Source organism: Homo sapiens, chromosome 20 (genome assembly GCF_000001405.40).
Source record: "Homo sapiens chromosome 20, GRCh38.p14 Primary Assembly".
In the NCBI taxonomy this organism is placed as follows: domain Eukaryota; kingdom Metazoa; phylum Chordata; class Mammalia; order Primates; family Hominidae; genus Homo; species Homo sapiens.
The window spans coordinates 20,441,109-20,468,438 of record NC_000020.11 but is presented as its reverse complement, the minus strand read 5'-3'; the positions used below and the strand labels follow the sequence as shown (position 1 = coordinate 20,468,438).

Sequence of the window (27,330 nt, the reverse complement as noted above, 5' to 3'; positions counted from 1 at the left end):
CACTCCTGAGTGAGGTCAACACGTGCCTGTGAATGAAAAATGCATGGGGAGAGGGGCTGCATTGAAGAGCGGCAGCCAGAATGGAGTTATACCCCCAGATGGGAGGGATGGCCATGCTTTTCTAATCCAAATTTCTAAACAGGCCCAAAGCAAAATATAGCTGTAGTGGGGATTTCTACTACTTGATATCAGCTCTGACATACATTCAACCAAAGGTGACATGTGTTTGATAAATTCCTGGCTGGCAGACAATCTCATCTCTCTTCTGAGAGATGCAAACAAGAGGCACTACTATTTTTGTTTTGGATCCATTTCTTAGTAATTTGAAGGAATGGATTTTTGACGTTGGACGTTGCAAAAAGTAATGAGCTTTCAGTAGAGTTTGTATAAGAATGGGAGGGAAAAAAGAAGAAGAAGAATGGGAAAAAAATGTTGGTAGACCTGTACCCTAGACACTTGGGAAGCACCTTACAAAAAGAAGAGTTCAGAGGAAGAAATAGCATATTCCCCTGGGTGGGCTGAGACTGTAAAAGGGAATGAGGAATTAGAGATTTTTAATAAGGGGATTTTTATTAAAAACTTAAAATTATTCCTCTGAGAAAGAAAAAGGGGAGGCCTGGAGGAGCAACCAATATAGCTGCACAAGGTTGCGTTCTCTGATGCGTTCATAGTTAAAATACTCACATCAAGATTCAAAGAGGAGCTCTTGACTCTGTAAATTAGCAGGTGGGCACTGTTAGCCAGTATCTGAATGACTTCCGTCTTCTCTATCACATCTCCTTCAAATGGGAAGGGACAGAGAAGTGCCTAAGTGGATAAATTAAAACTCAAGTCGCTAAGAATACAATCAATCAATCAATCAATCAATCAATCAATGGCTCTTGCACCTAAGCTCCAGACTGCAGGGCCACGTGTATCTGGCTGTAGAACAAATAATCTCAGAACCACAAGAAATATTTTTTTAGAAATCATGTAGAATAAAGGATGTACCCAAAATTGGAAACAGGAAAATATTTTGTTTTCAAAAAGGATTAAAGGATGAATTTTGGAATGTTGCATGGATCCTTTGTAAAATTATTAGACTAGGTTACTAAATAGCCTGTGAGCCTTCAGAAATGAATATGTTGACAAAGTATCCGGAACACACTTACTGTGTGTTTTATAAGATTACTATTTTCGGAGATTAGAGGAAGCATATACATCTTGATTTTGGTAAAATATAAAATAAAATACTATCATCTGGCAGGTATAAGAGAGAAATATGGGCCCCTGAGAGTTGGGTGATTTCACTGTGACCAAATCTAAAATACATTAATTCATGGGCACCAGTCAGCAAGAAGCTTTGTGTGTCTTGTATGGTTTCGATGCCACAGCTTTGCTGTTAACCCGTCTTCCAGTCAGCAGTTTTTTCAGTAACTTTCATAAAGGTCTAAAACATGTTTATCAAGCCACCATTTGTCAGAAAGCTGAGAGGGTTAACTAATTTGACACGATGCAAAGTCACACATTAGGATTATCTCAACAGATGAGAGACTTCCAGGCCCAAGCCAGCAAGATGAGGTTTAAGAGGGCAAAATGTAACGTTATGTACTGGGCTTTGGATAATCAGCTGCCTGAGTACAGGGTGAGAGTGATGTGGTTTCATAGCAGTCATTGTGAACAATGTCTGAGGATTTCGGTTGGCCACAGATTGGAGATGAGAGATGAGAGTGATGCAACAGCCAGCCACACCAGCATTCTCTTGAGACCTCTGCATAGGAAACATGAGGTCCAGTCACAGGAACTACGGCCTGTGCTCCTGCAGCCTCAGGGAGCATCCAAAGGTGGTGTGCAGCCCTGGGGCCACATTTTAAAAGGGACCTCGACCAACCCAGAGCCAATCCAGAGAAATTGTAACCAAATGGAGAGCCATTAAAACCAAGAAGTAATTGTTTCAGGAGTCTGAGAGGTATTAAAAGAGGATGGCAGTCTGCAGAACTGTGACCAGTGAATAGAAGCAACCAGGAAGCAGCTTTATCTCAGTGTCAAGTCAAACATTCAAAAACCAGAGTGGGCAGACCAGCTGCCAGCACACCAAATCCAGCCCACAGATGGGCTTTGTTTTAACTGCAGTTGTCCTCCTCACATTACCAAAAAACTAAACTAAAAATTGAGTTTGTCAGCCATGCTGAAAAATTGGGAGAGTTTGCATTTTTAAAAAATCTAGACTTTTGACTTCTCCTGAAGAATCAGAATATCTGACCCTATGGGGCCTTCCTTCTACTGACAGCAGTCTCTCCACAGAATATGTGCTGTCACGGTCACCACAGTCCCTCCTGGTGTCTCCCCAGTGCTGAGGCCTGGTGCCAGGCACCACCACCATGGCACCCACCATTTGGTCTCTCTGAGTTGGTGAGAGGGCTAATGGGCCAAGCAGGTAAAACAGTGCCTGTTCCTTGGTGAAAGCCCAGCAAACGTTACCTGCAATTGTTGTATATTATCAGCCTGGCCCTTGCAGATACTGGAGTTTCAAACCTCTGTTGTAAAAATGGAACCACCTAACTGTGGAGTTAGGCCTCAGGAAATATTTACTTTTTTACCATTGTGGGTATTAAAATAAAGGCTGGTAGAATGCTGTTCATTCAGTGCCTTGCAGAAGGTCCTCTTCTGTGTGAAAGGCTGGTTCCCTGGGGTAGGAGCTGCCCTCCACTCTTGGTGCATGGAAATGAGGCCCGTGAGAAGTGCGAAGGTGCAGGAGAAATCTCGAGAGAAGGTGGTACACTCTGCTATTTTTGCTATAGAGTGACATCTCACTGTTAGAAAAAAGACCATCCCTTCAGAAGTTATTCTCAACCTCACAGCCTGTGGAGAAACCAGGCTGATGCTCCCCCTAGGGGAATATCAGGAACAGCCTCATTCTTCCTTCTTTCTCTCTTTCCCCCCTCTCTCAGCTCCATCCCCAGTGGGTCACTGCATCTCACTACCAACCATCATAGGGAGCGTGCTGCTTCCCACTGGGATGACCCCTAACCTGGGAGTCTCCTCTCAGCCACTCTGCTATACCCCACCCTTCACACTGCCCTTGAGGCCCTCCTGTGCCAAGGACCCCTCACCCTCCCATAGTCGTCTCTGCTCTGACTCACTCCTTGCCAGCCTGAACCTCCTCTATCCTCTGTCTCAGATGTGGCACTCTTGCCACAGTGCTGGCTTTCCCAGTGGGGGCCTTGTGTCCATTCTGCTGCTGTCCCCTAGTATGAGAGAGTGTGTGTGTGTGTGTGTGTGTGTGTGTGTGTGTGTGTGTGTGTGTGTGAAGGCCTGCGGGGGGAGGGAAGAAGCTGGAGAGTAATTTGGTAAGAAACATTTTGGAAAACAGAAGCCAAAAGTAAATCATATTTTATAAAATGATACTTTTTCAAAATTGAAGGCCTTAATTGCCTAAGGTGAAATATAGCCTTAGGAATAGAATATGTATGCATATGTATGTATATAAATATACATTAACTCTCTCTTTTCCATTTTTGAATGTTTAGTTTACAGCTGGATCCTGAACACTTAAAATAGCACCTGACACATAGTAGGAACTCAAAAATAGATAGGATTCAAGAGGAAGCAAATAATTTTTACCGAAAAATTGGTTTTTGTGTTTTTTTCTTCTTACTGGGTGTTTTGTGCATATTTTTATTGTGCTCTAAATAATCATTCTAACATTATCACCCCTAAGTTGTTGAAGCACATTTATATGGAAATCTTGGCAATTAGAATGGTAACTTCATATTTGATTTTAAATTAACAGAATCTTATTGAGATCACTATAAAGGAAGTGATCCCATTTTCTTAGAGCCATTAGTTTATTTAGTTGGTTTTTGAAAGAGAGATTGAATTCAAACATTGTTAAAGTCAGAAACCTTGCAGACAAGAAGGAAGTGGGAGGGAAATGTACCATCAAAGCCTTGGCCTCCTGAGAAAGGAGTGACTCTCTAGACCTGGGTCAGAAAGAAGTGTCTGAAAAGGCCTAATTTCATTGTCAGAGTCCATTTATAAATCCTAGGGACCTAGTTGTGGTTTTTTGTTTTTAACTCTTAATTGTATGTAAATTGTATACACATAAATAAAACAGGCTTGTAATGCCTAAAGGAAGCTCTCCATGGCTCTGAGACTGGGAGCGGGCGGGCCTTGGCTGAGCATGCAAATACTGACAGCTGAAGTCACTTGTTGGAAAGTCCGCAAACTCTGGTTACAGCTGCATTTGTCAGTAGCTTTAAGGGAAGTGTAATCAGCCAGAGAGATTAATTTGCATCTCAATTAGAAAAGAGTCTGGAGGAAGCACTAGGGTCTGTTGCGGGAAGGTTGTGGAAGAAATCTCACCAAGCACAAAAGCCTCCTGGCGCTTCGTCCTCCAGCTGAGTGGAGGACAATATCTGAGGTTTCGTTTCCATAGGGACCAGAAGCCTGCTGGGCCCCAGAAGAATCTCGGGTTTGCACCGTAATCATTTGGTCATGATGACACAAATTCCACTGTTGTTCCCAAATACATTTTTGCTATTAGAAAGCTGTTAGAAAAGTGGAAATGGTCATCATATCAAAAGCATGCAAGAGGGTATTTGCTGACCCAACTTACCTTTTTCATAGTGCTGCTAGGATTGCTAAGCATTTAACATTTATTAATGTCTGAGTATTCAAAGAGCAAAAGGTCATTCCATAAATGACAATATTTCTTTAGCATTCAGATGGTTACTTTGGGAATGACAGAGCTTCAAAGGGAGCCATTATTCCTGATTCTTCCACACTTTTCAGCAGTAGGCAAACAAGATTATAAATTTTAAAACACAGGCAAGGAAGAGACATGGAATCTTCTGGCCATGAAGCATAGAAAAAAGTCTGGCCATTACAAGACTTTTTATAATCCTAATGAATCCTAATAAAAATCATAATTTAAAAAAGCACAAAGTAGTCTAAATTTATTAATTTTCCCTTTAAATATTATCTAGTCATTTTCATAGGCTTTGATACTTATATCACACGGCTCCTTTGTTTTCAGAGGAGTTCTTAATATTATCAAAAGCGGGTACAAAGCCTGGTGAGATCTAAAGCTGTCTGAACCGTTTATCCATGCCAAATCACTTACTCAACCAGGAAGGCCCACCCTTGGCATTTTTGGAAGAAGACTTTTATTTCAGGTTTATTTTGTTCTCTCTTAAATAGTTAATTCATTGGCCCCAGCTTCAAAGTGAGAAAACAAACAAAAAACAGTGAGACAGAAAAAAAAAAAACTGAATCCTACATTATAAACTGTTGACTACAAACTGAATTCTTTAACAAAAAAAAAAAAAGTCAGGGTTTTAAGCCCATCCTCCTATTCTGGAAAGGGAAGGGAACAAGTTTCCTAAAGACAATCTCTTCTGGTGCCCACAGACTGAAATAACACATTGCAGTGAGACATCAGAACCTCTTAATCCAACATTAATCAAATTTCAGTTTACTAATTATCAGTCCCATGTTGAAAGGAACAGAATGCCATAAACAGCATCCACAGAACGTTTAGTGGACTCTGGGATTATAAGCAATATTTTGAAAGTGAGACTTTCTGTTATTCAAATCTCTAAAAAGGATAATACATACCTTATTAGAATAAGAGACGCTGCAAAGCCAAAGAAGGACAAAGCAGGCAAGTCCAAATGGTGGTCCCTTCTGTGCAGAGTCTGCCCTGGCGTATACAGTGAGCTCCCAGCAGGTTTCCGTGCTGGAGTAATTTGCAACACACTCAAGTAAATTTTTTAATGAAAGCAGAATACTTTTTTGGTAATCTAGGGGTGAGTACGACCCAAATGCCATCATGTTAGCCTTGAAAGGGTGTCCTTTCTGTTTTACTACTGAGGAATTTTACCACACTCTAAAAGGGGTACTTTGAATTTTGTGCTTCAGATACATTTCTGAGGCCCTGTGCTTTGAAAGCCTTAGATAGAGACCATTGGGGCCAGGGTGGAGGAAGGAAGGATACTGCAGGGTTCTGTGCTGGTGCCCACTCCCTTTTCTCCTCCGTGATGATCAGGTGTCCCGTGTGCCAGCCCTAGGGAGTCCAGATGCACTTTAATGTTTACATTGTGTTTTGCACATGGCTTTAACACATTCAACTTGAGAAGTGCACAGCTGCTTTCGTTTCTAGTAGGATAGCATGTCCCCAAAATGCCACAATATTTTAAATAGCCAACTCTTGGGTGATTTCTCATTATTCCTTAGAAAACCTACACCTGATATTCTGTATGTTCAGATGGTCTTTTTGTAACTCTTTTCATCAGAATCACAAAAATGAAATGCTACAATGTTTAGTGGCTTATGATTTTTATCTTTCCTTAGCTTATTTTTTCTAATGCTTTATTTCGGTCTTCAATCTTCCTCTTTGGTCCTAGGATATAAAAGAGCACAGAATATGTTGTCCCTCTGCCTTGTCCACTTGTTTAAACTCTCCAGCACAAAGCTTTGGTCCTTAATCCAACACCAATGAAGGGGCTGCCTCCTGAAACCTCAGGGTCTGCTTGTCATGGAACAAGCCAGCCCTTAAGATGCCAAGTCCCTTTGGTTCTCCCTTCATTTGCCTATGAAGTGGGATGTGAGTATATCAGTGCATCCCGGCTTTGAGGCAGATGTATGCCTGGAAGTGCAAAGTCTCATACCTCCACAAAGGGTAGGGCAGGCTTGCTGGCTGATGGGATTCTGAATTTATAAGCAGAGTTCCAGAATTCCCCCAGGGCCTACTTTTCAAAGGCAAATTAGTATGTTTGCAACTTGATCCCTGGGCAACTTTTGACAGTTGTTCTAAGAATAATAAAACAGATGGACAGAATAGATTTTGGGGTCTCCATCCAAACTGCCATCCTCAGTGGAATTTAAAGAAGGCGTAGAGCTGATGGAGAGAGCTGCTGCTGCTTACTATCATGCTCTGCCTTTAACATCCAAGAGCCATAGCTTTCTCCCAGAAGATGGCAACTGTCATCACATTACATTTGCCTGCTGAGAGTTCGGCTTAGCTGTGATGTGTGTTTTCTTCCCACTTTTGAAATTAAAAAAATTGAACTCAGTTAAATTGAATTTATACTCCAAAGAAACCAATTTTAATAAGAATATCAGTAAAAATGTAAGTTAGTTTTAAATTTAAGGAGTATTTTCATATAATTTTTAACCCCTATAAAAAGAAGAGCCTCTTTAGAATGTCTCAGAAATACCGTTTACTCATTGATTTAGAAAAATAGAATGTATGCCTCTTTAACAGGATAAACATTCTTTGCTTATAATGACATATGCACATCAGAAGACTACATCAGAAAACAACATCTAAATTATTTGAATAAAAAGAAACAGATTGGTTTTGTACTTATGCTCTATAATTTTGTCAAATGCATATAATTTTTGCAGAAAATTTGACTAAGGAAAGCACTTCACATAAACCACCCCATTTTTTGTAGAATTTTAGCCTAAGTGTGGGTTTCAGCTCAGATTGGGATGAGATGCGCTTTCCTTTTAACTTATATTGGCTTTCTCTGACATAAATTTCCAGACTCTGATTCCACACTCCTTCTCTCTGGATTAATTTGCCCAGTGATCACTTTTTTAGGTCATCAAGATTCAATAAGGTAGCAGGTCAGTCATGCTTTGGAGTTCCAGAGCTGCTGTGTGCTGTCAGAGCTGGTATGCCCATATGTGTGCACGAGCTGAACCGCCAGTTTCCTCAGTGGGTTTGTTATGTAGACCAATTGTTTAACTAAAATGCCCCTGACAATAACTCAGTAGGATAGTAAACATGTTTTGTTTGTTTTTTAATTTAGGGGAAACATAAAGCAATGTAAAACCTTTTTCTACGTCTCATGTTGGGCCGTGTAACTGACACCATAACACTGGACCCTTATGGTCAAGTCTTGGTTCTCAGTGAGAAGAGTTCTTGCACAGAAGAGTTTGGGGATATTCTCTTTCCTTCATGGCAGCAATTTTACTACAAGTGCCAGATAAATTTTAAAGTGTATCTTGTTTATTGTCATGCCCAGCTTAGCAGGTAACATGTCATAGCTGACCTCAGACCTTGGGTTTTGATGTTAGTTTAAATTAAATAATAACTTAGTTTTTGGCTTTGAATACTTTACCTCTGTCAGTTTCCTTACTCTAAAATGAGGAAAATAATCCCTCCAAGACAGATTATTGTAAGGATGTATGGAATGAAGTATATATAAATATGAGACTGAAGAATGAATGAACGGTTGAGCTGATGGATGCAGCAGTGTAGAGGAGGGCCTGGCCCCTCGCTCGTTCTCCCAGCCCCAACTAGAAGAACATCTCAGGGCCCAGACCCTGCCACATGTGCCATGGTAAATCAGGGTGGCCATGCTTCTGTGTTCTTCCTGCAACCAACATCGGTATAGCCGTGGCAAGCACTGTAGAGGGCAGGCAGAGGTGAGTGGCCTCAGGGGGCTTCACAGCCAGGATGGGTTATAACTGTGACATAGGGTAGGATGCAGCCTATGCTCTGGGAGAGGCATGTGGTCAGTGCCCAGTGAGTATTTGTTGAGTCACTGCAACACAAGATACAAGAGAGAGAATCAGTGGGTCATGGGAGCTCGAAGGGAAAAGATTATTTCTAGCTGCTGCTTCAAATAATTCACGTTTTTGTGTACCTCTCATTAGTTATCTCTTCACGTGTGTGTCATCTATAACTTGATAGGTGGGAAATGTCATAACTTTGTTAATTTGTTTGTTTTACAAAAAGATATTCATACGCTGATTATAATTTATTATATTGGTGTCCATGGCCCATTCCAGGGTGCTAAGGCATTTTTTCAGGGCGCAAGGGTCTTGGTGAACAGCATGCTCTTGAGGCTGTATGGTCGCCACTCCCCATTCCATTCCAGAGGAGGGCACAGAGGCCGGACTGTCGCAGTCCTCACTTTAGTGGGTGAGGACACCTGCCTCCAACCCACTACCTACCTCAGAAGCCTGCAGGCTTTTTCTTATTACATACCCCACCCAAAGACCTAAAAAAAAAAAAAAAGCAAAAAAACCTCTTAAGCATGCCATTCAGTAGTGCATATACTGATTTATTTTAAAGTATGTACAAGTTCTGCTTTACTAGTACATTATGACATAAAGTATAGTCAATACTGAGAATTTTTAAAGGATGCAATAAAGAGGAAATAGTAATCTGAAGTATTTTATATTCAATAGTGTAAAATTGTTTTGCTTTTATTAGGATATCAGTAGTGCTTTAGTGAGTGCAGTGGAATTAAAATGTGCTGCTTTATTTTTATAATCTTAGTTTAATAGTTCTGTGATTCAGTGATTCCAAGGGGTCCATCTAAGCTCAGTGTATTTTGATAACTTGGTTTCATAGCCGGAAACAAAACTTTGCAAAGAGGACATAGACCAGCTGGAGCAGATTGTTGTCTTGACCTCCTAAATCACAGGTTCGTGCTCAGTTTACATTCTTAGCCACCAGTTCTATGAAGGTTCCTGTTGACATTTGGAAGGAAATTTCCATCTTCCTTGATGTGAGATCAGTTGTTGTATTGGTATATATATATTTTATTTATTTGTGTGTGTGTATATATATATATATATATAGGTCTATATATATATAGGTCTATATATATATATAGGTCTATATATATATAGGTCTATATATATATAGGTCTATATATATATAGGTCTATATATATATAGGTGTGTATGTATATATATATAGGTGTGTGTATATATATATATAGGTGTGTGTGTGTATATATATATAGGTCTATATATATATATATTGAATGAGGGCTCTACTGCCAGCCCCTTGCTCCCTCTCCTTCTCTTTCTTAGTACAGCTTAGTACAGCTCATATATTTCTTATTGTATTGGTATATATATTATATATATAATATATATAAAATACATATATATTATATATAATATATATAAAATACATATATATTATATATAATATATATAAAATACATATATATTATATATTATATAAAATACATATGTATTATATGTAATATAAAAAATACATATATATTATATATAACATATATTATATGTATAAAAAATGTATTTTTTTTGGACAAACAGATTCAAAATGTACTCAGCTCTTATTTGGAAGTTTAGAAACAAATAAAATTCTGTTTATGAGTGTTTTGATAGTAGAGATATGAGTGCTTTCTGAAAACAGAAACCATCTTCGACAATAAATTCCCATGCTGAAGGCAACATTTTCCAACATCTCAATTGAAGGCTTTCTCTTTACAGCATGTTTCTTTCAAATAGCAGTTACTCTCTCACTCAGTGTCAGCGCTCTCCTTTTCTTTTGTGGGAGCAGTATCTTTCTTCCTAAAGGAATGGCTAAGGGCGCATTGCTGACCGTGGCCTCCTCCCCAGTCTCCTCGGAGCATCAGCCAGGGCCAGCGACTAAAGTGTGAGTCAGCCACGTCACTGCCAGCTCACCCTCACCAGGGGCCCTGCCTCCCTCAGCATCCAGGCCTTCAGGGGAGGCCTGTGCCCTCCATGCCCCCTGCCTCTACTGCTCCCCAGATGCCCACGTGGCATGTTCCCTTGGCCCCTCTTCACTGTCTCCCTATGCGAGAGCCCCGCACACATGTGCACCCACACCTCCCAGCACTGCCTGGGCTGCCCATGCTGTGTGTTCCCACAGCCTTTATCACCCTCTCAGTTACTATGTAATTCACTGATTTTACTCACACCGTGCCCCCTGCGTGAGGGCAGAGATTTCTGTCTGCTTTGTTCACTGGTGCCTCCAAGGGTGAGAGTGGAAATATTTAACAGTGGGTACATAAGGACACCAGTTTGGCACTGACCAGGACGCCAGCCATGCGGGTGTTTTCCAGGTGAATACCAACCCTGGATGTAGCCTCAGCACCTGCTGCAGAGTAAATATTTTTTCAGTGAGTACACGCCGAATGAACGAATTCAGCTCCTTGTCATCACAGAAAAGGTCACCAAATTTAGGACATTTGTCTTTCCATAAAAAAGAAAAATGAGCAACTCATCTTTATATTCAAATTTCAGCTTTTATAAGATCTTTCCTGTGAGATAAATGGCAAACTCGTGTGTGCGACAAAAGATTTCCATGTTCATGCTCTGCCTCAGAACAGTGAATTGTAAAGATAATACGATTTATAGGATAATAAAGTTCAACACTTCAGTTTGGAGGCTCATGTAAACCATGGTACCTCTCCCTGTGCTGAAAGTAAATGAGGGCTCTACTGCCAGCCCCTCGCTCCCTCTCCTTCTCTTTCTTAGTACAGCTCATACATTGAACCTGACCTAGGACAGTCTGATAGATGACCTAGCAAGAAGGGTGCAAGTGTCAGGCACGTGTTAAATTTCAGTAAAGCTTAATTGAGTTCATCATTGGAGATAAAAAGATAAATATTAATAGAAGTCCTAACATTGTCTTCTCACATGAGAGTCTGCAAACTTGCAAAATTAAGCATCATGATTTTTGCAAGAGCTGGACATGGTGTTGCAAGTTCCAGCTCCTCAGGAGGTGGGAGGATCACTTGAGTCCAGGAGTTTAGGCTGTAGTGCAATATGATTGTGCCGGTGAATAGCCTGCAGACACTGTCACTTAAAAAAAAAAAGGAACTTTATAAAGATTTTTGCAGAAATGTTTAAAGGCAAAATGGTGGAGGGAGGCTCTTCTATGGTTCTGTGGGTTGACTGGGCTCAGCTGGATGGTTCTTACCCAGGGTCTCTTACATCTGGCACCTGCATTGGCATAGCTGGAACAGCTTGGGGCTGGCCAGGCATACCTGGCTCAGCAGCCCCTCCACTTGGCTAGTTTGGGTCTTCTCGCAGCAGTCAGGCTTCTGACATGGCTGCTACAGGCTCCAGAGATCCAGGTGGAGGTGCCAGCTTCTTCACAATAGCACTTTGGAAGTCTCAGAACTATTTGGCCACAGCAGGTCACAAGGCCAGCCTAGATTCAAGGGAGGAGAGTGAGCCTGTTGTGAGATAAGCAGCAGCCTGCCTGTCCAAGGAGGGCCACAGGCCAACGGACATTTCTCTCTGTCTTCCATAGCTGGTGTAGCACTGACCACACTGGGTGAGGGGCTCACTATGAGGCATCTGCCCCTCCACTGGTCAGCAAGCTCCTTAAAGGTAAAGCTATGTGTTATTCATCTTTCAGTCTCCGGCATCTAACATCATAAGAAGTCAGTAGATGTTAGTTGGATTAAAATCAGAAATGCAAACATTTTAAGGAATTTCTAATTAGGGGAAAGTAGACTCTAGTGCCATTTATGTAATTACACCACAGGATGTCTTTACAATGTGCATGGGAGGAAATGACTTAATATGGATACTGAAAAGATAACTGATTTAAATAATGACTTCTAAATCCAGAGAGTTAAGTCATGAAAGCAATAGAGTTCACTCTGCTCCTGTGTCCACAGAAGCAAGTGTTGAAAGCGTGCATTTTGTTCCTGTTACACTTGATTTCCTTGAGCTCCTTATTTTCACTTTAACTTGGTCTCATGAATCCTAATTTTATATTGCTTTCAAAAATCATGAGTTTTGATGTACCTCATAATTGTATTTGACTTTTTAGATGAGTTTATGTCTTTGTGCCTTGGAAGTTGTCTCCCCCAAAATCTTTTGAAAACCATATAAATTGTATCATTGAGATTTCTTTAAGGAGAATGTCCGTTTGGACCAATTTTTTTAATGTTTTGCTTTAAGTAGGGGAAGGCATCAGCTTTTAGTGGGGAAAAGGATTGTGTCTTTTTATAGTAAGAGCCGGCCTGATGGCTCTGGTGAACCTCTCAGCCGCTGGAGGAACATTCTTAAAGATGTATCCACATTCTCTGACCACTTCTTAACATGACCCTTGGCAGTCCTCTGTGGCAGTGGTTTGTCCGTTCTGCCTTGGAAGACCATAGGAATGCCCGTCCTAGGCTTTTGTTGCCTGTGTTTTTTAAACAGCCAGAGATTTCACATGGCATCTTTGGATCTCGTGACCAGCTGACAGGCGAGGAGGTGGTGATGACATTCCAGCCTTTGGCCCGATCCCCCAGCTCTTTAGTGTTTCCGTGCACGTTATAGTAACTCATGGGTGATGTGAAGGAGTGCCACTCTGCATCTGGAACCACGGCCTTCTGCCAGAGCAGATCGATACTTGAGCTGTCTGTCTCTAGCGCTCACCTTCCTTTCGCACAGCGAGACCCTTCTGCAGGCAGCGATCGATAGCTCTAATCCGTGGCAGCCTGCAGCAAGTCATGCGAGGCAGAGCACTTAGGTGGCATTACACGGGACTGTGGAGGCAGCAGCTCCGGGGCTTAGATTCGTAACACCCTTCCTAGGGACACATTCTGTTTGTAATGTGTACTTTTTATAATCTCCGTCATGGATCACCATTCCTCTGAAACTTGATTCAGGGAAATGGACATGTGTTTGTGTTTGTGTATGCATGTGTGAATTACAGACAGATATTCATTCCCTTCTCAGACTTTGTACCAGCCCTCCCTGGTGCTGCTCCAGACCATCACTGCGTCACTACAGACCTGGGCTTTGTGCTGTAATTATTTCTAGTCTGGGTATTTTTAAAACATTAAAACTTTAAAAATATATATATATTTGAAATGCCAGTAACTGAAGAGCATTCTTACTCTAGCATGTACTTTCCCACAAAACATCATTAGAAGACAATGAACATTGGATGTCACTACCGTCTTTGAATGGCTGTGACCAAGTGAGAGGCTGGAGAGTGAAGATCTGTCTTTCCCTGGACCACTGAGGCCAAAGGAGCTTCCCCTAGGGATTAGCTTTGGAACTACCCCTGTGGCATCCTTGGAAGGCAGAGTGGGGAGTCAGGAAAAGCCTCTTCAGTTCTTTACCTGGCTTCCAATCCTCATTCCATTCCCATATCTAGTTATCTTGATTTTATCTGTGGATTTCAGGATACAACGTAAAGTTAAGGGCTGATCTGAAGAAAGCAAATATGTGGGAGACAAGTTTGAACCAGGGTTTCTGGCCACTGTTGTGTGCTGGTCCTATAAGGAGCAGGCAGCAGTGGCCAATAGAGCCACGAGTGTCATGCCTGCTGTGTGCGAGAGCCTCAGCAGCTGCCTGCCGGTCAGAGAGGACTGGTTTCCAAATTCAGACATGCTCAAATTCATTAGTGAATGACACACTGTATTTTACACAAAGGTCTCTCCTGGGATGTAATCTTTGTTTCGAGCTCTGTGGCCTTTTAAACTCTATGCTGATCATCTCACCTTTAAGGCCACTTTCACTAATCTGCACCTCACAGGCCACTGCATCCTTTCCATTTTTCACAGAGTACAGATAACACCTTCGGAGAACCCCTTAAGTTGAGCTTAGCTCACAGGAAAACTTCTGAGAAACAAGTTTTTCTCCAAGAACCAGGTAGTTCTCTCTCATATTTACACACATCCTGCCCTACGATATAGAGGTGCAAGGTGCATTTCTTGCTGGAGATGATCATTCAGTAAAATGTCTTTTACTTAGGGCTTAAAAAAATCTTGACAAAAAATAATCAACTGATTCTGATAATCTGATAATCTCATTCATATTCCTAGACACCAATTCTGAAAAGTCCAAAAGCATTTTTTTCGTTAGTGTACTCATTCATTCAACAAAATACCCATCGGCCATTTCCTGTATGCCAGGCACTGTGCTGTTGCTGTGGGTGCACAAATGGAAGGCCCGGTGCCCACCCTGGAGGGGCTCTTTGTTGAATACAGAGCACATTAGGGAAGAGAGCAGTGCACAGTTTCCTCATGGCTGTGATGCAGAGTGCAGCCCAGAGCCTCAAGGCGTCCCACAGAGGGCCTGTGACCTGGCAATTGGAGGGTGAATAGGCGTCACAGGGACTTGATGGAAGAAAGGAGCATTCAGAAAAAGTAAACGACTTTCAGCGGAAAAGAGCCTTTGGTAAACCTGGAACCATCAAGAAACTTGGTGATCTTGGAGCTTCAGATGCTGCTAGGAGCCCAAACCCACCCCCCGCAGTAATCAGATTGGGGTCCACAGCACCCAGATGTGCACACATCACTCCCTCCCCTTCTTATCGCTGTCTCATCTCACTGTGTCTGCCAGACACCTTCCCCCATCTCATGCCATAGACCCCTCACTCATAAGGAGATGTGCTACTGTCTTGTCTTGTGTGAGAAGAACAAGACCAGGAGGTGAAGCTGCTTGGAGCTGTCCTCTTGGGTCACCTGGAGAGACATCTGTTTACTTAGCTGCACCATTCTTTGCTCTGTCCCAGGCACTAAGAACCTCACATATTTTATTCAGTTATTAAGCAATCCTATCAGGAAGGCACAATTATGATCCTATTTTAATGTATTATGCAAACGCAATGCAATGTCTTAACACAATCTATTATGTCACAAACTTTTTTATGTTTAAAAAATATAGTTGAGGGAACAGAAGCCCAGAAAAGTTAAATAACTTGCCTGAGGCCACACAGTTTTGTGAATGGTAACCAGGACCTGAACCAGCAGCAGCTGCTCCACCTGTGCCATCAACTCACGGCTCCCCACCACCCCAGTGCCTGGTCAACACCTCTCCATCAGGACCCAAAGATGCCTGTGGAATTTTACTTGCATTTCAGTGCAACATTTTAAATCATGTTGGATCTGTTGGTCGGATTTATAACTTGTGATTTACAGCTGATTTTGATAAGCCACAAATACCAGTATCATGCTTTAATGAGACTGAAGGCATGAACGAGCAGATTCTACTCTTGAGGCTGTTGTGGGAACATGCCGGCCGACATTGCACTTACCCCTCTGAAGGCCGGCATTGTCGCCAGGCTCATTAGCATCCACGCTCCTCGCTGGGCCGTTGCCGCTTGCTAGCTTACCAGCTGTTCCTGCTGCTCCGTACAATGTCGGATGTGTTCAGCTCACTGGGTTCCTGTCCTCGCCGCCGGGAGGAGACAGCCCTTCCGCTGGGGATACCCACGTGGCTGCCTGTCAGCGGTGGCACCGAATAAAGTAATAGGCCTTCGCATGGCATATGGTGTCTGGATTCGTACAAGATGCAAAACTCTTCTGCAGCTAATGCACGATGACTCATAGCATTGCTAATTTTTCAAACAAAAGCTGACTTCCACACCCACACTTTTAACCCCTCCAGCTAAAACGTCTTGAGTTGCAAAGCTCTACAATGGTGACTTTTGGGTCACTATATAAAATTTGTTATACTTACTGAAAGTGTATGAAACGATTTGCTTTACTTTGGATTGAAGTTATTTTAAATTTCTATTTTAAGTTTATTTCCTCTCTATATGGGGAATTTTTAAGCTTTAACTTTCAATTTCTTTTTTACATTGGAAGAGTCAAAACAGTTTGGTAGATTTATTTTAAAAGCTGTTATTAGAAAATCGGTCAGAAGACACTGTATTAGTTGAACACTTGTAATTGTTTAGTAGAAGTTAACTTTCTCTTTTAAAAGCTTCATAGAAACTACTGCCTAATGCTCTTATCAATTCAGGTGTGGAGCATTTCAAGCTCACATTATAGTATTTTAAAGCTATAAGAGAATGTTGATTCTTTTGTGGAATATGATTTTGCATAGTCTCTTCTAGTATACTAAATAAGGCCCACTTAACCAAATTCTGGCAACAGAAATTTAGATTATAAATTTATATTAAAATGTCCATTTTTCAAACTAGAAAATAAATACATGGGATCTTCTAAAAGAATGTCCCTCCTAAACTTTGGATCAGTTGTGCTAATAGATAGCTACATTCAATCTGAGACCTTAAGTACTAAAATAAGGCAGTTATTTGCATTTACACAATCAGGCCTCCCTTTGAAGTAGTGATCAAAATATTGGTTCTTTTATAAATAACCTTTTACTGAACATTTTATTTAAACATTTCAGAGTCAGGAATTGCAACCATGAAATGATTAGGCAGTTTCTAATTATGGATCAGTAAGTGTTTTGTAGCCAGTCTGGCACATGAGCACTTTTGCAATCAGAATTTGGCAAATGAATGAATTTATAAAGGAACTTCAACCTAAGAGGGTAATATAGATTTTTTTAAAAATAGATTACTTTTTGGAAGCCCAAAAGATGTCTTTTGGGGAGCAGGCTAGACACTCAGAATTGATGTTTCATTTTGGTTTCATGTTTAAGTCTGAAGTTTTTGCTTTCTGATCTACAGATAGGAATTCAAATGCACATCTAACTTATAAAGGGCATTCTATTCTCTGAAAATGAAACAAAAATATATAAAATTTCTAAGTGGGCCTCACTTTCTATATTCCAGTTTTGATGCCATTTTTCAAGCATGCTCTCTAATTTTGCTCTTTGCCATTGGAAATAAGCTGGTGTGTATTTGGTGTGCCTAAAAATTTATTAGGCACTTAAAATTCTCCACGTTTGGCATATGTGAGGATTTCTAGTTTTGCTTTCACTGCCTTGAGTTTGAGAGCTATGTTTGTTGTTGCTCCTACTAGTACTTTTATTTTATCCTATTACCACTCATTTTTATGAAATGAGGGCAAAATTCACTGGAGTATTCAAATAATTACCTAAGGACAGAAGTGGAGACACTGCTGAGCCTGAACTCTTGGTCAGTAGTTAGTGTCTGCATGTAACTGATAAAATGCTTTCTCATCAGCCAATGGACCAGAGAGTAAACTCAGCTCCAAAAGGCAGTTTGGAACATCAGTGCACGATGTGCAAAAGCGCAGGCTGATCACAGGCACCCAGAAGGACTGTTGGACCATTATTCTCACTCTTGGCGACAACCCTGCAGAATGGGACTGTGTTAACCCACAGATGGGGAGAGTGAAGCTCGAGGAAGCTGGGTCTTGGCCTGGGGCCCACAGCCAGGGCAGGGCTGGGATGAGAGCCCAGACCAACCTGACTCTATGGCCGCCTGCTGTTTCTCATTTGTGCACACTTTTGACCTAAGAATAGGAGACCATCAAAATGATATAGCTTTCAGAAAGTGAAGCAATTCCAATTAGTTTTAGCTTGTTCTCTCATTATTGTTACCAAGTGAATCCTAGCCTTTTAAACCTTGATTGTATGGAATAAATATGAAAACAAAATTATCGTTAAGTTAGGATGGAAAGTATTCCCGTTTTGATACCATGTGTACATCTCTTACACCTAAATACATGTAGCTTCCAAATTAAAAAGCAGTGAAAATATTAAGTTTAAATATTCTTACTGGCATATCCCACTTAGAGTCCATCCCAAAATAAGCATCTAATTGATGTTAGTTAGTGTGCTTTTGCCTTGAGAAATAGTTGAGGACGCAGTTCCATCACAGTGATTTTTCTGTCTTTTTGCTAGCAAGATATTTATTTGTATATGTGGAATCCATTTATATTCTACCTCTCTCTAAAATAGATTTGAAAGAGCTTACATAAAGGCCATGTATAATGAGAAAGAGAAAATCAAAGCCCAGGAAGCGAGGATGAAAATAAGAGTATCATCTGAAGGCATACAGAGAATCCACAGTCATGGCTCTGGCAGCAGAGCAGGGCATCCCCATTGACTACTGCTGACCTCTAATGCTTGCTGTAAGGTGTAGCTACCACATGTCTTCGGGCCATTCTTGTTCTAAAGTTGTCAATTACTGTTAATGAAATTATATTTTGTATAAGTTGGAAGACATAATAGGTCATTCTAACCTAATAAGTTCCAGACAACAGCATATATTTATAGGAAATTTTTAATATCAAAATGATTTCTATTCTACCCCATGAGTTCAAAAGATATCTTTGGAGCAGACATGCAAGTTCATGTGCATCACAAGCTAATTAGGTCCGGGGGAAAAAAAAAAGTTAAGGGCTTAACAATAGCTGAAAAAGTGAAGAATTAATTAGTGACAGGGGAAAGTATGATTGAAAAATAATCTTAATGCCCACATTAGCTGGCTAGCTGCTTTTGCTAAGCCTTTTAGTTTAAAAAGCCCAAGTACCTGACATTTTGCATCTGTTTTTCTGTGAAGATAAAAGGAAACTTGAGTGTCTTATTCTCAATAATGGATTTTATGTGACAAAAAGGTTTCTGCTCCCTTCATTTCCATGGCCAGGCATTTTTATATTATTGCCCCACCGACTGTCATTTCATGTTTAACTCTTTGTAGACTCACACAGCTTTCCTCAACCCTGGGGATGGTCTGGGATTGAATGATGTCAAAGCCTCTCTGTGTACTAGGTGCTTCCATGCATGTTGGTCTTCTTGTTACCATGTTGCAGGACTTGTTGCCCTATAATCCAGCTCTTCTCTCAGGTTTGTTTACTTGTGATCACTATGTAATCATTCATTTTATGGAGCTTCATTAAGGACTGCAAACCTCTGTCCCAATTTAGCGTCATTCAAGCGTAGGTAGCATCCATCTGCTCCACCCGCACTGTTTAATTAATGAACTTCATAATGTGTTTTTGCCTGTGAAAAGCTCTCTGTCTCCTCAGGTTGTTAAATAAGATGTGCATTCCAGGTTTTCTGTGTTAAGATTCTAGAAAACCCGCCATGGGAGGTGCTAATTATGGACTCACCGAACTCCTGTTAAGTCGTAACTTGAAGGCAGATTTACCTTTTTTTTTTTTTTTCAATATACATTCATAAACCCAAAGTCAGGTCGCTTTTTGAGTAAGTAAATCACTGGTCAGTTTTCATAGTCATTCTCTTCACTGAGAGTAAAGATTAACATTTTTTTAAAGCTATATTTTCTTTCAGTACCCTAAAAATATATTTGTTACTTTGAGGTTTTTCCTTCTGAAATTAAAGTTGTAGAAATGCTTGAATGTCAAAAATGCTATTTCTGTTTTCCAATATCTTTTCGTAGAATTGCCTGGGAAACTTTGTAGGATAGATTCTATTAAAAATAATGGAGTAACAACTGTGTTTCTTGGAAAATAGTAACACTCAAGTAATATATTTTTTAAATTTCATTATCTGTTTAATTATTAGTGTGTTCTAAAATTCTGTCTGGATTTAGAGGTGTTTTGTTGGCACCTCTTCAAAGACCTGATAAATTTGATATTATATGGCAGATAGCATAAAACTAGCCACATTCATTTACTTAACACATCTATTAACTAAGACCAGGAGCTTAATCCTGATTTTTAACAACCGGACAACCTATGGATTATCTGCCTTTTCTTAAAGACTATTTAACATTGAGATTAAACTACACTCTACTCGGTCAAGTACTCTCAAGTCCTAGAAAAAATTCTTTCTGTCTTGAAATATGATAGAGTTCTACATTCATGTTGTATTCAGCTCTTTTCATCACAATATTAACTCTTATTTCTATAATGGTGAAAAATACATCTGAATATTCATTTTTCAAAAACAATTTTTACTTACCCCCATCCAAACTGGGGAGGGACTATATTTGTGTTCTCATCTAGCCATTATAAAGTTAATACATTGGAAAAAATGAACGTTAAAGTTGTTTCACATTAAGTACCCCATGTTCCATGAGGATAAAAGCAAAAGGGATTAAGAGTTGGAAGAATAATTGGAGCACAAGGAAGGCAGAATGATGCCCCCTTGTTTCTCTCCCTTCTCTAACATTTGTAGAATTGCATGCATCAGGGACCTGGCACATTGCTGGCTACACTGAGGATGCGGGGCAGAGATCCTCAGATACTGTCGATGTGGCTCAGTCCAGTAGGCAAGAGACTGTCCTACCTCATCCTCTCTACAGGTGCCCAGAAAAAGAGCTTCATGATGACAAAAAAATGAGAGACATTGTGAGATGAGTTCCACTCCTTATTTTATGTTGGGTTGAAGTGCATGAAGTTGTTGATATTTGACTGTTTGACCTAGTTAAAAAAAAAAAAAAGGCAATTTGATATAATTCAACCTAATTTTTTGCATTACAAAGCATAGAGAATATGTGAATAGCAACTTTGTTTACTAACCAGAGGAATCTGTGCACAGGTGCTGTGATGAGGGTTTAGCTGCCTTGACAGGACATCTGCCAGGGCTCAGGATTGTGTTTGTGAAGCTTCTCTGGAGCCCCTTGCTGTTGAGCTCTCTGCATCTTGAACCATTTTGGCCTCTCTTCGGGACCATCTTTTTCCTTTAGTGTTGTGTTTGTGTAGCTGGTTTCTCTGGGCATTGTGCCCAGTGAATGTTATTTTTGTTTATTGTATGCAGTGTCTCCAATCCTGTTTTCATGATAAAGTCTTTAAAAATCAATTAACAAATGAAATGCATCTTTGCCTGGGAAACTTTCGAATTGCTTGCCATGTTAGCAAATTCTCAATACTGCCACCAAGTCAGACAGCTGACCTCCTTCTGGTGCTGGACAATGGATAGCCCCCTTCCTTTATCAACCCATTGAAAAAGAGACTCAAACCACTTTTATCTTAATGAAATGAAAAGCACAAATGGAAAAAAGTTATCTTTGCTTTATATGCAATTGTATTAAAATGTTGAAATCTACAAGCAAGATAATTAAAATGCTATCCCTGCCAATCAGCTGAGAAATCAGTTTAACTGGGGTTTGACTTCATGACAAATGGGCCATCAAACTAAAACTTAGCAGAACTATGGCAGCCTGAGAGTTCCAGAGTGGAATTTGGCCTTAGAACATTTCCTAAGTGCGAGTTTGGGCACAGCCAGCCAAAGAGGCTCGGTGACTTGTCACTCCAGAGAATGCCTGCAGTGTCCTCACCCTGTCACAGCCTCAGACACATTTTGAATCTGCAGGAACTAGTTCAACCCAGGAAGTCACTCACTTTATCATTTATGTAGAACCACCAGGCCCAGTGGAATATTTGCCCTCTGCATTATACCTGTAGCCACGCAGGTCAGCTTTGTATAACCCAGGGCAGTGCTGAGCAGTGCAGTGTCATTCATCTCTTTATGCGTAGTAATGCATTTGCTTTCCACAGCAATCCTGCAAAGCCAAGGTACTGTCATTTCTTTTGCTTCTGGTGGCTGCTGTTCTCCTCTTAATCATCATTCTCCTCTCCTCCTTGTTGATTTCAAAACCTATTTAGATTGGTGCAAAAGTAATTGCGGTTTTTGCCTTTAAAAGTAATGGCAGCAGAATAGTTTGAAAATTTACCTCTTTCACTGTAAGATGATGTGGTGGTTTTCAAAACAAAAGATTGATAATCTGCCAGCATATGTGTTTAACCAATTTATAATATATTCAGAATGTTTTTTCATTTCTCTAAATGTTTTTCACTTGTTTTTATGTGAAACCCTCAAAATGGGGAAGTTGAGAGGGGGATATCTCAAATTTTTGTGTTTTATGTGAGTTTTAACAGTTCACACTTACTAACTAGAAACATATACATTCATTCAGCAATCCAAAGAGGTCACAGTTTGGGTTTCTATGAAGAACATATGCTCAAGTAAGAATATAAGATTTTACTAACCACAGCTCCTGTTAAAGAGGATTTTGAAAGAAAAAGAAAAAAAAAAAGTGCCCCAGCAAGAGAGATGATACTTTAGCTCTAAGAAGAAAATGGACTATGTTTGTAAATTCAGTCATTAAAAAAAAAAATGTTTTTTCCAAAGCAAATGTGCATTGTTTAGTGCTAGCAGAATGCATTAGCTTTGGCTCTGAGTCCAGCTTTTCAGAAAATGCTTTTGAGTTCAAATCTTACAGCTTCTTTCAAAGCAGTTGCTGGATTTTGCCAGTTTTTCTTTTTAAGATTATACTTCTTTACATACTAGTTCTAAAAATATTAAACACATTGGGCAATTAAATTTATTTATAATGAAAATTACATGGAAGTGTAATTCCTAAGAACCTGTTTGACCATTAATCAGAAGTTTTTTGGCATTGAGAGGAAAGTACTGTTTGGAGGCTATGCTATAGATCCCTTTACCCATCCCCAGCCATGGAGAAAATAGCCTAATTGGGTGGGTGGGTTGATTGGCCTTTTTTTGTTATGGTTTATTTCAAAAACAAGAATTTGAAGAAGCACCCATTTCTGAGTGATGTGGACTAGTCAGGGCCACAGTTGGAGCCAAAGGCCAGATTAGATTCCGTGGGGGATCTCCCCAGCTTCCAGTTCCAAGAACAGAGTAAATGTCATTCAGTGGCCCCCATACTCAGAACCAACATCTGACCAATATATTTACTCCATCATCTGCCTTTCTGCCATGCAAAATTCAGCACTTTGGGTGTAATAGGCTTCCATCTTCATGAATCTCCTTGCAAAACTCAGGCACTTATGGAATAGTCAGACATTACATTCGAGCATCTCAAGTTACAGTAGCTTCCCCTTATCTACAGGGGATACATTCCAAGATGCCCAGTGGATGCCTGAAACCTCAGATAGTACCAAAACCTTTATATTCTACGTTTTTCCTACACATACATACCTATTATGAAGTTTCCTTCTAAATTAGACAAAGAGATTAATAATAACTAATAATAAAATGTAACAATTATGACAATATGCCAGCGTCACTACTTTTGCACTTTGGGGACATTATTGAGTAAAATAAGAGTTACTCGAACACAGGCACATGCAACACAGAACACAGGTGATCCTGTGGCTGTTGATCTGATAAGTGACTAATAGGCAGCGCATGCGGCGTGGACCCGCTGGACAAAAGGACAGACAGTGTGCAGTTTAAAACACGAATTACTTCTGGAATCTTCCATTTAATATTTTCAGACCTTGCTTGACTGCAGGTAACAAACTTATGGAAAAGGAAGTCACGGAGAAGGGGGGACTGGCTACTGTATTAAAATTAATGTGAAAAATACCAAGTGTTGGTGAGACTATAGAACAACTAGAACTCTGAAATGCTGCTGGTGGGAATGTAAATTGGCTCAATCAACCACTTGGGGAAACTGACAGTATTTGCTAGGCTAATCTGCAGTGTATCAGGAGAGGAGTTATCCTTCCAGTAAGGGGGAGAGTGTCTGGAAAGCAGCAGGAAGGTGCTGGTGATTTTTTATTGGGGTGCTGATAACATGAGTGTGTTTAATTTGTGAAAATTCATTGAGCTTTATACTTCTGTGTACTGTGTGTGTGTGTCTGTGCGTGTGTGTATTTGTCAATAAAAAGTTTTAAAATTTCTTGAAATAAGTAAGATCTCCTCAAATTGGGAAACGAGGTGATGTGCTAGGGTGTAGGAGAGTCCCAGGAGACACACAGCGTGCCTTTGCAGATCATCAGCAGTACTTGATAGTTAATCATATACAACATTTTTGTATTAAAATAAATGCAAGCCGTGAATTTGCATTCCTTTTTAACACGTATCTGACACATTTCTTGCTTACAGGCCCCTGGAGGTCCTTCTGTCCCATTCTGTGGCCCTGTACAGAGGGGAGGATTCCAGAGGAAGTGTGTGTGTGTTGTGTTGCCATAAACCATGGTTCCCAACCCTGGCTGCACATATAATCACATGGGGGTTCCAATATTGACTGATGCCCAGCACCCACCCCACAGATTCTGGGTAACTTGGTTTGGAATGGGGGCCAGGCATCAGTGCCGATTAACCACTAGGTGATTCTCATGCGCAGCCAGGAATGGGAGCTGCTGCCCTAAGGCATTAAGCAGCCCCTTAGCAGGGATTCACAGATGCCCAAGGACTAGGAAGAAAGGATTGCTGCTGCTGTGAGAGATGGACTCGAGATTCCCCCATGGTTTCTTCCAGATCTGAGAGGGGAGAATAGTGGCTAACAGCTATCCAGGACTTAGCTTTTGTTGTGCACTGTACTAAGCACTTCATGTGGGCACCACTGTGTTCATCATTTAGCCATGCGGAAACAGGCCCAGAGGAGTCACATGACTTCCTCAAGCACTTTATAATGGTTATGGTGGGCCTGGCGCACAGGCATTCTGACCACAAAGCTGGACTCCACCTTATGAGGATGTCATGTGGTACGCCTTGCACAGCAGCCTGACAGGCAGAAAGAAGTTAGGGATGCTGGAAGATTGAGGTGGCTGCAACTATAAAAGACAAATAGCACCAGCTTCACATTTAGGGGCACCTGGTATGGGACAGCCAAGGCTCAAGAGGGATCCAGAGATACAAGGGGAAAAAGGTGAAGATCAAGAGGCACCTGGAGACATCGTTTCATAGTTCTCCCATGCCCCCAGAAAATGATGCAATGTCAGAAGAGTCACTATCTGGACTATCTCAGTTTGAAGCCATTCATTCACTGGAGGACTGCTTCCCGCATTCTCACCCAAAAAGATGCTTTTTATGCATCCTTCCTCATCCAGGAAATGAATGCAGTCCCCTTCAAATTACATCCCCACGCCACGGTAGTTTTACAGATCCTTCTGGTATTACAATCTTACCTTTTTAGACCTTTGTTAATTGATCAAAGGGTTAAAAGTATAAAAACTATGCAGCTTTAAGGAAAACGTGGATATTAATGCCTTTCTTTAATCTATAATAATGACTGGTTTTAGTCAGAATGCTTTAAATGCAGCTATTGTAAAATCTCTGCCCTTGTATCAGTGGTTAAGTATCATGGTCCATTGATAGAGCTTTAAAAAGTTCAAAGGCTATGCTAGCGTATCTTTTGTCTCTTCATCTTTTAACTGTAAAGAAAAAGATGTCCTTGTATCAAGCCTTAGCATTTATGTGAAAAATGAAATTGGGTTCAGTTCGTGCATAGATTTCTAGAGAGATTAAAGTGGGCATCACACAATTTTTCTCTGTAAAAGGCTTCCTTTGATGTGCCTTCTGTCTGTTCGTACAGAAGTGTCAGCCATTGTTTTTCAGCAGTAGAAGAGTGTCTGCTTGTCATCAGCACATTCTAATACCTTTGTGCTGGAGCCTTGTTCAAGGTGGATCTTATAATTCAGAGATAATGTTACTGGAACCGTACATTGTAATACCAGTCTGCTTTAGGAAGATAAATGCCAAGGCAAAGCCAAAGTGTTTATCAGAAATGATCAGGGAGCAAAACTAAAACATTTATATTTGGATGTCTGATTACAATCCATGCTTTAGATATTTCATTAGCAATATAACACAGTTATTCTTTGGTGCTTGCTTTGAGTTTTAATTTGTTTGTGCTATTCCACTGCAAAGGAAACGAATGAGATGGTTACATTAAGGGACTCAGAGTAGCTGAGTGTATGGCCATAACTTGAATTAGGCTAAGACGACAGAGAGCGGAGTGAAGATGCCTCATGGCATCTGAAAGTGTAGAACATTCCCACCAAGTATCTCTTGGCCAATCTATAAGTCATAATTTAGTGAGCTCTTACAATGTGTACGATGTGATAAATATTTTATGTGTACTTTACCATCACTAGAAAGTAGGGTTGTTGTCCCATTTTGCAAGAAAGAAGCGAAAGCACAGAGAGAAGCTGAATGACTTGCCCAAGATCTCTCAGCCATCAAGTGAGAAGTGAATTCACACCCCGGCTTGGTGCTCACTCTCTTAGCCACTGCTGTCTGTCTTCCAACTGCATTGTCACTAATTGCTAAAAATATTTTCACAGACTACTTTGAATGTGCAAACCAACTAATATTTATGCCTTTTTCTCTAAATTTATTCAGATACTCTTTTTCATTTCTGAAAAACAGTAAATTTTTTTTCTTAAATGAAAGTGAAATCCAATAGAATTTCTTTCTTGGCTTGTCTTATGTTATTTGTGATAAATAATGTATACTTCAGGATAATTTCACTTTCTGTTGATGCTGCCTCTAAATTAAAAAAAGAAAAATCCTGTTTTAAAATGATCTCCAAAACAGCTCAGACTACATCCCTAGGACAGCAGTATTTAAATGACTCTAGGATACCTCTGTAACTTTGTTTTTCTTACATTTCTTCCACTTAAAGCTTTCCCAGCACATGTCAACTCTACAGCTCTGTATCTGAGGCTGATGGCCAGTGCTCCAACCATGGGCAACCTAGAGCATTAGCCAGGAGGAGAGAGGGAGTGCTCCTCCAGCAACCCCCGCTGGTCTTGAGGGAGAGAAGCAGAGGATGACTGACGACTGAAGGGAGGGAGCTTGCTTCTGCTGCTGTCCTGCCTTGACCTGCCTCTGCTGTCATTGTGGTCACTGCTGCAGAGGCCCAGGGAGGGCAAGGTGACATTCTAGCTGTTTGTTTGTTTCAACAAGGCTAGCCACAGGTCCACCCACACTCACCTCATCCCGGTCACCTTCCACCTAAACATTGGCAGCAGTTCCCTAACTTACAGATTAACGGCTGTCCCACTTCCCACTTGTTTCCTTCTCTTTCATTTTCTGTTATGAAAAAGGTCCTCATGTGAAACAGCTCCCAAAAAGCATCTTATGTAAATTCATGCCAAAATATGTGAGAGTCCTCTTGCAAAAGAAAATTGGAATGTGAATTCTGAATTAAAATGAGATTTCCCTTTCTGACCACTCCATTAAATTCGGCTTTTGTTTGTTTTTTAT

At 40.6% G+C, this 27,330-nt stretch overlaps 1 protein-coding gene across 16 annotated transcripts in view, besides 3 other annotated features; it reads left to right on the top strand.

Annotated features, from left to right (window-relative positions):
* RALGAPA2 (Ral GTPase activating protein catalytic subunit alpha 2) overlaps positions 1–27,330 on the top strand; it is a 323,115-nt gene that overhangs the window by 244,206 nt on the left and 51,579 nt on the right. For 2 of the 16 annotated variants that reach the window (XM_047440321.1, XM_011529309.2), the window contains one exon: positions 26,747–27,307. The exons of the other annotated variants lie outside the window; for them this stretch is intronic. The gene's annotated coding sequence lies outside the window, so the exon portion shown is untranslated. Of the gene's footprint in view, positions 1–26,746; positions 27,308–27,330 lie in introns of those variants that run through there. 16 annotated transcript variants of the gene reach the window in all.
* Positions 4,421–4,470: an enhancer, noted in NCBI's record as "active region_17611". NCBI's record gives its function as "activates an Ori minimal core promoter by ATAC-STARR-seq in GM12878 lymphoblastoid cells {active_cell/tissue: GM12878}" and the evidence as "EXISTENCE:reporter gene assay evidence [ECO:0000049][PMID:35858748]".
* Positions 15,560–15,669: an enhancer, noted in NCBI's record as "active region_17610". NCBI's record gives its function as "activates an Ori minimal core promoter by ATAC-STARR-seq in GM12878 lymphoblastoid cells {active_cell/tissue: GM12878}" and the evidence as "EXISTENCE:reporter gene assay evidence [ECO:0000049][PMID:35858748]".
* Positions 24,822–24,871: an enhancer, noted in NCBI's record as "active region_17609". NCBI's record gives its function as "activates an Ori minimal core promoter by ATAC-STARR-seq in GM12878 lymphoblastoid cells {active_cell/tissue: GM12878}" and the evidence as "EXISTENCE:reporter gene assay evidence [ECO:0000049][PMID:35858748]".